Raw genomic sequence first — 12,850 nt, 5'->3', positions numbered from 1 at the left:
TCTCCCAAAGTCTTAACTCATTTAAGCATTAACTCAGAAGTCCAAAGTCCAACGTTTCATCTGAGATAAGCCAAGTCCCTTCTGCCTATGAGTCTGTAAAATCATCAGCAAATCAGTTAATTCCTAGATATGAAGAGAATATAGGCATTGGGTAAATAGAGCTATTCAAAATGGGAGAAATTGGCCAAAACAAAACTACAGGCCCCATGTAAGTCCAAAATCCAACAGGGCAGTCAAATCTTAAAGTTCCAAAATGATCTCCTTTGACTCCATGTCTCACACCCAGGTCACACTGATGCAAGAGGTGGGTTCCCGTAGTCTTGGAGACCTCCACCACTGTGGCGTTGCAGGGTACAGCTTCCCTCCTGGCTGCTTTAACGAGCTGGCATTGTCTGTGGCTTTTCCAGGTGAACGGTGCAAGCTGTCAGTGGATCTACCATTTTGGGGTCTGGCGGATGGTGGCCCTCTTCTCACAGCCCCATAGGTGGTGCCCCAGTAGGGACTCTGTGTGAGGGCTCCCACCCCACATTTCCCTTCTGTACTGCCGTGGCAGAGGTTCTCCATGAGGGGCCCACCCTTGCAGCAAACTTCTGCCTGGATAGCCAGGCGTTTCCATACATCCTCTGAAATCTAGGCAAAGGTTTCCAAACCTCAGTTCTTTATTTCTGTGCACACGCAGGCTCAACACCACATGGAAGCTGCCAAGGCTTTGGGCTTGCACCCTCTGAAGCCATGGCTCGAGTTCTCTGTTGGCCCCTTTTAGTCATGGCTGGAGCGGCAGGGACACAGGACACCAAGTCCCTAGGCTGCACGCAGCATGCCAACCCTGGACCTGGCCCAGGAAACAACTTTTTCCTCTGGGGTCTCCAGGCCTGTGATGGGAGGGGTTGCTCTGAAGACCTCTTGACATATCCTGGAGACATTTTCCCCGTGGTCTTGGGGATTAACATTCAGCTCCATGTTACTTATGCAAATTTCTGCAGCCAGCTTGAATTTCTTCCCAGAAAATGGGATTTTCTTTTCTATTGCATTGTCAGGCTGCAAATTTTTTGAACTTTGATGCTCTGTTTCCCTTATTAAACTGAATGCCTTTAACAGCATTCAGGTCACCTCTTGTATGCTTTGCTGCTTAGAAATTTATTCTACCAGATACCCTAACTCATCTCTCTCAAGGACAGAGTTCCACAGATCTCTAGGGCAGGGGCAAAATGCCGCCAGTCTCTTTGCTAAAACATAACAAGAGTCTTCTTTGCTCTATTTCCCAGCAAGTTCCTCATCTCCATCTGAGACCACCTCAGCCTTAGATTTCATGTCCATCATTATCAGCATTTTGGTCAAAGCCATTGAACAAGTCTCTAGGGAGTTCCAAATTTTCCCACATTTTCCTGTCTTCTGAACCCTCTAAACTGTTCCAACCTCTGCCTGTTAACCAGTTCCAAAGTCAGTTCCACATTTTGGGGTATCTTTTCAGCAGCACCCCACTTCTGGTACCAATTTTCTGTATTAGTCCATTTTCACACTGCTGATAAAGATATACTCAAGACTGGGTAATTTACAAAAGAAAGAGGTTTATTGGACTCGCAGTTCCACATGGCTAGGGAGGCTTCACAATCATGGCGGAAGGTGAAAGGCATGTCTCACATGACAGCAGAAAAGAGAAGAAAACTTGTACAGGGAATCTCCCCTTTTTAAAACCATCAGATATCATGAGACTTATTCACTGTCACGAGAACAGTTCGGGAAAGACTTGCCCCCATGAGTCATTTACCTCCCACTGGGTCCCTTCCACAACATATGGGAATTCAAGTTGAGATTTGGATGGGGACACACCCAAACCATATCAGAGGAGTCTTTTTCATTCCTTTAAGCCATCAGTTTCTTTTCTTTTCGACAAATAATAATTGTAAGTATTTATGGGGTACAATGTGGTATTTTCATATACATGTACATTATGGAATGATTAAATCAAACTAATGAGCATATCGGTCATCTCACATGCTTTTTTTGTAGTGGGAACATTTAAAATCTTATTCTCTTAACAATATTGAAATATCCACTACATTATTATTAACTACAGTCACTCTGCTATGCAATACATCTCAAAAACTTACTCTTTTTGTCTAATTAGCTGAAACTTTGTAGCCTTGGACCAACATCTTGGCATCCTCCCACTCCCATCCCCCACCTCTGGTAACTACCATTCTATTCTCTATTTCTCTGAGTTCAATTTTTTAAGATTACACGTATAAATGAGATCATGCAGTATTTCTTTCTGTGTGTGATTTATTTTACTTAGCATAATGTCCTCCAAGTTCATGTAAAGCTGAATGGTATTCCATTATATACAGTTTAACCTTGACAACGTGGGGGCAAGAGGCACTGACCCTCCACTCAGTTGAAAATTCGGGTATAATTTGATTCCCTGACTCAAAAGCTTAACTACTAATAGCCTACTGTTGACTGAAAATCTTACCAATAACATAAACAATTAACCCACATAAGCTAGACAAAAGAAAATATTATTAAGAAAATCATAAAAGAAAATATATTTACTGTTTATTAAATGAAGTGAATCATAAAGGTCTTCATCCTCATCTTCACATGGAGTAGGCTGAGAAGGAGGAGAAAGAAGTGGGGTTGGTCTTTCTCTGGAGTGGTAGAAGAGGAAGAAAATTTGCATATAAGTGGTTCCTCACAGTTCAAACCTGTGTTTTCCAAGGGTCAGCTGTATACCATGTTTTCTTATCCATTTATTTGTTGATGGGCACTTAGGTTGATTTCATATCTTTGCTGTTGTGAATAATGCAATGAATAAAAGAGTGTGCATGTTTTTTTCTGTAACCTAATTTTAACTCTTTTGAAATTGAAGTGGGATTCAATGCTCAGAAGTGTAATTGCTAGGTCATATTGCCATTCTGTATTTAGTATTTGAGGACCTCCATATTATTTTCCATAAAAGCTGTACTGATTTACATTCCCACCAACGTTACAAGAGTTCTCTTTTCTCCACATTCTTGCCAACGCTTGTTATCTTTCATCTTTTTTTAACACACCCCACTTCACAGATGTCATTTGTCTTTTTGATGATAGAAATTCTAGCAGTTGTGAGGCGATACCTCATTGTGGTTTTAATTTAAACTTCCCTGATGATTAATGATATTGAGCATTTTTTCATATACCTGTTTGTTATTTGTATGTCTTTTTTTGAGAAATGTTTATTCAGGTTCTTTGCTTGTTTTTTAAGTGGGTTATTTGTTTTCTTGCTGTTTAGGTGTTGGAGTTCCTTATAACCCCCTAACTGATAAATAGTTTGCAAATATTTTCTCCCAATCCACATGTTGTCTTTTCACTCTGTTGTTTCCTTTGTTGTGAGGAAGCTTTATATTGATAGTTTGATGCATTCATGCTTGTCTGTTTTTGCTTTTGCAGTTTTAGCCAAAAAATTTTTCAGACCATTATGGAGCTTTTACCTTATGTTTTCTAGTAGTTTTACAGTTTTCAGTCTTATGTTTAAGCCTCTAATCATTTTGAGTTGAGTGTTGTATATGGTGTGAGATACTCAACTTCATTCTTCTGCATATGGATATCCAGTTTTCCCAACACCATTTATTGAAGAGACTATCTTTTCCCCCAGAGAGATTCTTTTTTCTTCCTCCCTGGCTTCCCCAGAGAGATTCTTGAAAGAAGGCAGAGAGAAAATATTGTCAGTTAGACTGACAGCCAACTTCTCAATGAAATAGTGGAAGCCAACAGACAGTGAAACCAGATAGTGTGGGAAGGAAAACATTTGCAAACCATGAATTCTACATCCAGTGAAAATCTCTAGACAGTGGTAAAATAAAGACATTTTAAAATAAATAAACCTGAAAAATTTTCAATCAGCAAACCTACACTAAAGAAAACCTTAGAGGATATGCTTAGGGCAGAAAGAAAAAGATTCCAGATGAAAGTCTTATCTTTTTTATTAACATTGATTTATCTAGAGACTGGAGTTAGGTAAGGGAACGTATATATATTCTGTATCTGTGGATCTGTGATATGACTCTTATCTGAAACTATTGGAATGAAATATGAAGTGTTTTAAGTATACAAATGAATATATTTGTTCCTATGTGATGATGCCTGTGTAAAGGGACACAATATTTTTGTTAGGGGTAGACCCTGAGTCCATAGTAACTTCTTTTGAGGCTGCAGATACCCTATTATTGTTTTGTCAGCTCTGAACCGTAACATACGTACTTAGCTACTCACCAATCCTAAGTGGATAGCTAATAGTAAAAGGCAGTACTTGTAAAGGACACTTATTACTCCTTTAGCTCTTCAGAAGTGACCCCAAAAAGTACACTCTATCCTCAGGCAAAAAAAAAAGCAGTGGTCATTAGGGTGGACATTTTCTGTTGTGGCTTGAGACATCAGGAATCATATTAAAAGTTTCTGTAGCTTTAGGGTTAGGGGAGGCAGGGATCAGGATAACAGATTTCCAAATTTCCCCTCTCTGAAACCAAGTGCAGCAAAACTTGGCTTGGGAACCTATCAACTATGCTGTAATACTTTCTATGCAGTTATAACTGTGCACCTTTGTTTTCAGTTACATCATTAAATTTTATTCTCTCTAATTTCTAACAAAACTTTTTTGTTATATGATGAAATACTATTCTGAAACATTGAACTAAACTGTGTTCTTAAGCAGATGTTTTGCTTACCTAAGTTTCTTCTGATTCTTGGCCTTTAAAAATACTTGCTGAATGAATTAATATACTGTCTTGTATTGTATTTGTGTTCATGTAACCTCCAGACTCCTCAAAAAAAGACATCATAGTATTTTGAGTAAGAGCAGAGCCAGGCTACCTAGGTTGAAATCTCTCAGATTCCCCACTGATCAGCTGTGTGACCTTGCTGAATTTCCTTAACCACACGGTGCTTCAGTGTCCTCATCTCTAAAGTGCCCATAATAATAGCCACTTATCTTCTAGGGTTGTTATAATGTTAAAATGTGGTGATGCACATAAAGTGTTTGGAACAGTTCCTGATACACAGCAAAAGCGATACATGTTTGCTATTAGTATTATATTTTTAATTACCCCTAGCATTACACAGCGTGTTTGTACATAATGCATAATTAATATATAATTTTTGTAATGAACGATACAACACTTCAAGCTTGGCCTTTATCTTTTCTGTTGCATAATTAAATGGTAATTAATTGGAATCAAAGAAATGCTGAAGTGGAGTTGGGAGATACTTCTAATATCTAATAGGCTCACTTGAAACTAAATGGTAATAATCAATTACCATTTAAGAAAAGCAGTTTTGCTGACATGAACCATTCATATGTACATATAATTACTTCAAAAATACCATTTTGCCCCTTGGGATATAATCTCCAGCCCATTTTGTCTATTTTCAAAAGCAACAAAAATTTTTAAATGTGTGCAGCTACAAGAAAGTAGGCGTTTATTATTGGCTTAATATTTTTATTACATTTATATTATGTTCTCCCTTCCCTTCTCCATCACGTTATGACATTTCACAACTCAGTCTTTTTTTTTTTTAAAGGCATATCTACTTTCCAAATTTATGTGAGTTTTATCTAAGGAATCCCTTGCTTCTTAGTAACATTTTCTTGGGGTATGTAAAACATCAGATTTCAGTAAACTAGAAAAGTAAAGCACATTTGAGAAGCCATGCAATACTGTATTCCAGTCTGCTTTCATTAAAGTATAAAAGATGTCTATAATAAAATTTATTTATACCAGTGGTTCTCAAAACTGACTGATAATCAGAAAACCCTGGGGCTCTTTCAAAAACAATTAACAAAACAATTCTATTTTTAGACCCATGAATACATATTTTGGGGGAGGAAGGAGGAGGGTATAGATCTGTATTTTGAAAAGTTCCCCAGGTCTCCTTGGGAAATTATATGAACAATCATGTTTGGGAACAAATGAATCATGTTACCACTGGGAAGAAGTTTGTTATACATCCTAACCAAGAAACCTAAATGGTTCTTAAGCATCTGCTAGCAGAAACAGTTATAATTATGAATACCTAATGTCTGTTAGATTTTGCTGATCCCTCACCTACCTCAGGAAGAAACAAATCCAAAAAAGTAAGATACGGTCTTTTTTATTTGTGTTAATTAAAAAATGCTACTCCTAAAAATATACTAACTTTCCACACTTATAAAGGTGTTTCTTATTTTAAATTCCTCAATGAGTGCGGAGAAGACAACATAGAAGCTTCTTCTCTTTCTTTCTGTCTTCCTTCAACTCTGTTTCTCTTCTTCCTTTTATCTTTCCTTTCTTTTCTTCTTTCCTCTGACTGGATTGTTTATAACACTTTAGAAAATTTCCCTGACTGGAAGAGGGCCAATCTGAATGAGCTTTTGTCTGTCTTGGGAGTAGAATGAAAGCAGATTCTGAGCATGGACCCTGACTTCCAGAAAGACTCCCATCTCCTCCTCAGTGCCTCACTCTTCCCTCAGTATCCAGAATAGAGTGGGGTGGGGAAGTAGAAAAGGAAGGAAATAAGAAGGTGGTAGAAAACTGAGGCAACCCTAGTAATTTGTTTTTCTCTAAGTAAATTACAGGAAGTATACATTTTCTTTAACCTTAATGTCCACTACTGTGTGGACAGCCTCTGGGAAAACATCTGTTGCATTAGATACTTTATGGTGAATATTATAATAAAATCAACAAAATATGATTTATGAGGTCTGCTAGTTGACATTTTAAATTTTTCATTATTATCATTTTTATATTTCTGTAATAGAGTTTGACCTACATTAGAATGATTCTTAACTTTTCTTCCTCATTAAATCCTTTTTTAAAAAGAGTGTTCTGTGTATGCCAATCTTGAAGCATAGAATTGATGCCAATTTTTAAGCTACTTGCTGTTTTTGGTTTTAGTCCTGCCTTTTTTAAGGGAAGAAAAGAAATAATATTAATTTGAGAGTGTATTATGAATTATGCCATTATCCTAACAGTAACTTTTATTGTAATCTCACCATGCTAAAAAGTATCCAAAATATTTTGAGATGGGAAGGGATTTGAGTTTGGTTTCTAATGTTTATCTTTTGGTAATCCCTACCAAATTTTCATAGTAATAGTAGAAAGAAGGAAAGTGAATATTGGATATTATTTCCTTTACTTAAAAGCTTTTGATGGATACTATTTGAATTGGTGTAATATGCTGAAGTGTATGTAATGGAAAAACATTATTATTTTCTAAATTGAATAAAATGGATTTAATAAATACTGAAAGCAGAATTAACTAAGCAAAAATAAGTATGTTTTGCTTAGAAAATGGATGGCAGTTGCTTAAGAAAAAAGGTTTTTTTACTAATTTAAGAATATACAGATTGTCTGGGGAAAAGAAACTTTTTTTTGTATTTTACTTGTACAGTCTCACATATAACCACTGTTGTTCTCATGACACTCTCCTATATTGATGTGATCTTTATATGATTTGTACCTTTTTTATCTCTTATTCCATTATTTCTTAAATTCTATTTTATTCACCAGTTTCCCAAATAAAGCTATCAGGGTTGACATCAGCTATTTCCAGGAAAATAAAAAGGTTATTACTGCTGAACACTGGAATAATTTGATTATGTAGATTGAAGAAAAGTCAATCTGTTATAATTGCTGTAAAGAAGCCATTTAATTTTGTGCCTGTTTGCATTAGTCTTTTTTTAACTAGATATGCAGATTAGTGGGATGAAAATATATATTCTTTATTTGAATTGTGATTGCCAACTGAAAGATGAATATGAGGGCAGAAAATGAATCTAAATCTTTGGTTTAAATGATAAAGTCTTTACACATTGTAGAGAATTAAATAAGCAGTTGGTCATACTTTTATTTATCTTCAGGATCTTTTGCTCTCTGATAAAAGTAGAAAGCTTTAGGGAATAGATTGTGTAGAAAGTAAATCCGACTTCAAGATTCAGTTCCTTTTTGATAATTTATTGTTTTAAATCCTAAATATCTGAAGCAGTAATGCCATGACTCACCAAACATATCTTTGTGAAATGATTTCCAGAGATTGGGAGAAAAAAATACTAATAGTTGATTTTGCTTTAAGTGTTTTTTATTTCTCACAACATTCCAAATGTTTGTTTTAGGAGATACAAGAGTTTATCATTTTTTCTTTTAATTGCTAAGAAGACTTGTTACAACTTTCAAAAAAAGTCCTCATGGAACCTGATAAATAAGAAGTTCAATGTCTTATTTCATTACGAGCTATCTAAATATTTTTGTCAGATTCAGAATATGTAACTGAATGTATGTAATTCTTTTTTGTAGCAGCCAAGAATAATTTAAGTTTCACAACTAATACTGATATGCCTTTATCATATTTTTGCTAACCAGCCAAATCTGTATTCCCATGATCATCCTTAATGTTTGTACTAGTAGAGGACTATAGTGGTGCAAACTGAACCAAAATAGCAACTAATAAGAAGGAATAAATGAGGCCGGGCACAGTGGCTCAAGCCTGTAATTCCAGCACTTTGGGAAACTGAGGTGGGAGGATCACTTGAGGCCAGGAGTTTGAGACCAGCCTGCCCAACATGTTGAAACCCCGTCTACACTAAAAATACAATAATTAGGCAGGCATGGTGTTGCACACCTGTAATCCCAGCTGCTTAAGAGGCTGAGGCAGGAGAATCACTTGAACCCGGGAGGTGTAGGTTGCAGTGAGCAGAGATTGCACCACCACATTCCAGCCTGGGCAACAGAGCAAGACTCTGTCTAAAAAAAAAAAAAAAAAAAAAAAAAAGAATGACTAATTGATATAGAGACTTATATGGGTATTTGCATTTAAAAATAGTTTTATATTCTGAACAGAATAAAATAGTTATACCTTTCCCAATTAACAAATTAGCCTTGCAACTTCAGAGTTCAATAAGAGTCCCTGTTTATTACCAATATTCTTATTTTCTCAAAGTTTTTTGTTTTGTAAAGGATTGAGACCTTTGAGACCTTCTAATTCTACATCTTTTACATATTACTGGATTTTTGAGATCTGACAACTGATTTTCCCTTTACTAATAGAAAGCATGAAATGTCATTGATAGCAAAACAAATTCTAAGATCCCTTATGGAGATCTCACTGTTCTTACTGGTAGGGAAAGCCCAATTATCATGTAGACTTTACATTCTCCATCAGAGTATCTACTGTGTTAAAACAGGTTCCTAATCATCTTAGAATAGAGAAAACCATTTATTTTATCCAGTACATGATTGTCCTTTATGCATTAAATTCATGTTTTTACATACTTGTGTTTCCTTTTCATTTTGTCCTTCCAAATCATTATTTTAGGAATATAGAGAAAAGGGTTGGCCAGGTGCAGTGACTCACACCTGTAATCCCAGCACTTTGGGAGGTCGAGGTGGGTGGATCACTTGAGGCTAGGATTTCAAGACCAGCCTAACCAACATGCAACACCCTGTCTCTACTAAAAATACAAAAAGTAGCCTGGCATATTGGCGCATGCTTATAATCCCAGCTACTGAGATGGCTGAGACATGAGAATCGCTTGAACCCAGGAGGCAGAGATTGCAGTGAGCCGAGATCGTGGCACTGCACTCCAGCCTGGGTGACAAAGTGTGAAACCCTGTCTCAAAAAAAAGAGAAAAGGATCATTTTTCAAGAGTAATAACTTCGGGATGGTTGTGGGTTCTGGCTTTTGGTTTTTTGTTAGTCTTTGTTTAAATGCCATATTAACTCCAAACTCACACATCTAATGTAACTAATGGTGGTGGGAGTGGGGAAGGTTTTGGGGTGGGGGATAATATTAGTAAATTGTTTAAAGGTATATTTATCCTATCAAATGAAATCTATCAAAAGCATAGGTAACTTAGAAGCTTTTATATATCCTATGTATTTTAGATACAGAGATTTGCATCAACCAGAGTTACTAAGAATGAAACTGTTGGCTCTGAATAGGTGTGAATAAATCCTTAGGAAGAGATTTCCTACCTGCCCTTTAGGTGCCATGTTTCTTACTGACAGCTGTCAATATTTTTTAAAAATGAGCATGAGATTTTGGTTCTTTGCATGAATTGCATTTGAATTATGCAATTTTGGGGGGTTTTCTTTGTGGGTTTTTTTTTTTTTTTTTTTTGAGACAGGGTCTTGGTCTGTCACCTAGGCTGTAGTGCAGTGCAGCCATGGCTCATTGCAGCCTTGACCACCCATATTGGTCAGACTGGTCTCAAACTCCTGACCTCAGGTGATCCACCTGCCTCAGCCTTCCAAAGTGCTGAGATTACAGGCCTGAGCCACCATGCCTGGCCCACGTATTCTTTCCTTAACTGTTTGAAGACTGCTGATCATAGCATCAAAAGCGTTTTTTATTTCTGTTACTATGTTTGTATATTTCTAGGATTTCTCTTTGATTCTTTCTCATAATCTCTTCACTGAAATTACCTATTCGATCTTAAACGTTTTATATCTTTTCCATCAACCCCTTTAACCATATTAATCATTGTTATTTTATTTCATACAGTTTTAACATTTGAACTGAGTGTCGTACCTGAGTCTGGTTTAATGATTGCTTTGTCTCCTCAGATTCTGTTTTTCCCTGAATGCCTGTAATTTTTGGAGTTGCTATAGAAATTCAAACAATGTAGTCTATTGCATTGACTTACTATCACATGAAAAATATTGGATTAAATTTCTAAAATTTTAAGCACAGTCCTATCCTTTGGCATTTCATAAATTTAAAGACTTTGGATCTTACAAATGCAAAACCAGTATGTATGTATCTAACCAGTGGTATGTGTCTAAGCACAAACTTAATCTTGTTTTTCCTTTAATATATATTGAATCCATCCTTATTTCCAACCCTGTGACTCTACCACCTGCCTTTAGTTCAAGCTCCTGCCATTTAGTTTAGTTTATGTCCTGCCATTACTTCTTAATAGTTCTAGACTTGTTTATCTCACTGTTTAAAATCTGTTAGTGTTTCCCCAATGGTTACAGAATAAGATCTAAACTTTATGTGACATCTAACAACCTTCTTTATCAGGCCCCCACCTCCCTCTCCAGCTCAATCTCTTACCACTTGCATAAGCACATTTTACACTCCAGCAACATGAACTGCCTGTAGGATCCTCAAACACCGAATGCTGGGTTTTTTGTTTGCTTGTTTTCATCTTTGTGCTGTAGATCTTGCTGCTCACTGTTCCCAAATACCCTTTCCTGCACTTCTGTTTGTTACATATGATAATGCCATTATACTGGAACTTTGCACAATGCTGAGTTTTGTAGCCACAAAAATATTAGAGTGTTCATTGGGTAGATAAATACCATTAGATTGATCTAGACTTACTTTTTTCCATTGTAGAAATTATGTATATCACATCTCTAATGGGGGTGTTTTTCAAAGTTATTTGAACATTTCCAGTGGTAGGGAGCTCCTGCTTTACAAGGCAACCATTATATTTTTCAAAAACTCTTAAGTCTTACAAAGTTATCTCATAAGAACAGCCCTAATTTCTTCTTTCCACCACTTTGTAAACAGTAATATACTTTAAAATGTGTAACATTTAGCAACTTGTAGCTCTGCATGCAGTAAAATTCAACATTTTCTGAATTAATTTTTACTGTGTTATGCTGACTTCATGTATTTTATTTTCATGGGCTGGTTTAAAAATACGAGAATGGAAAGATGAAAGAAAAGATTAGTACATGCAAACTATAGAAGTTTAGGTAGCAACCCAGTCCTGAGTTTCCCATTTCATCTTCTTTTATTTTAAATTCTCAATGTATTTCCATTTGCAAAGTTAACTCTTTTACTAAACTGTCATGAGACATTTGTGTAATTCAGACTCCAGTACTGATTATAGTATCTTTTAACCAAATACATTTCACTAAAAATTAGACTTGTAAAAGTGTTAAAAAAATAAGGCTTGGCCAGATGGGGTGGTTCACGCCTGTAATCTCAGCACTTTGGAAGGCTGAGGCGGGCAGATCCCCTGAGTTTGGGAGTTTGAGACCAGCCTGACCAACATGGAGAAACCCCATCTCTACTGAAAATACAAAATTACCCGGGTGTGGTGGCGCATGCCTGTAATCTCAGCTACTCGGGAGGCTGAGGCAAAAGAATTGCTTGAATCTGGGAGGCGGAGGTTGTGGTGAGCCAAGATCGTGCCATTGCACTCCAGCCTGGGCAACAAGAGCGAAACTCCGTCTCAAAAAATTAAATAAATAAGGCTTATGTGCAGTTATTCTCAATGAGCTAAAAAGCTTCCTGAGGCTAGAAATTCTTGTCATTTTTGGCTGGGAGCAGTGGCTTACACCTGTAGTTTCAGCATTTTGGGAGGTCGAGGCGGGCAGATCACCTGAGGTCAGGGATTTGAGACCAGCCTGGCCAACATGGTGAAACCCCGTCTCTACTAAAAAATACAAAAATTAGCCGGGCATGGCCGTGGGCGCCTGTAATCCCAGCTACTCGGGAAGCTGAGGCAGGAGAATCGCTTGAACCCGGGAGGTGGCAGTTGCAGTGAGCCGAGATCACACCACTGCACTCCATTCTGGCAACACAGCCAGACTCTGTCTCAAAAAAAAAAAAAAAAAAAAAATTCTTGTATTTTGTATATTGCTGCTCTCTGGGCCTCAGATGGTATGTGTTAAGTAGGTATTCGGTAAATTCTTTCCTCCTCACTTCCCTCTCACTAGCCACCTGACCAAAAGCAGAAAAATACGTCTTGGTTTTCCCTCTGAGTTCAATATTTGTAGATAGTTTCAACATGTGTATTAGTATTTTTCAAAGTATGGTCTGTTGATCACCTGCTTTAGAATTATTAGTTACTTGGGATAGGAATTAAAATTTTAAATATCT

The 12,850-nt window shown here is 36.8% G+C and overlaps 1 protein-coding gene across 31 annotated transcripts in view; it reads left to right on the top strand.

Moving 5' to 3' along the window:
• Window positions 1–12,850, top strand: part of COP1 (COP1 E3 ubiquitin ligase) — a 262,456-nt gene that overhangs the window by 222,235 nt on the left and 27,371 nt on the right. The gene's annotated exons all lie outside the window — the stretch shown is intronic.

This window comes from Homo sapiens, chromosome 1 (assembly GCF_000001405.40).
Source record: "Homo sapiens chromosome 1, GRCh38.p14 Primary Assembly".
Classification (NCBI taxonomy): domain Eukaryota; kingdom Metazoa; phylum Chordata; class Mammalia; order Primates; family Hominidae; genus Homo; species Homo sapiens.
The sequence above is the reverse complement of the archived record's forward strand: the minus strand, read 5'-3'. Positions and strand labels throughout refer to the sequence as shown.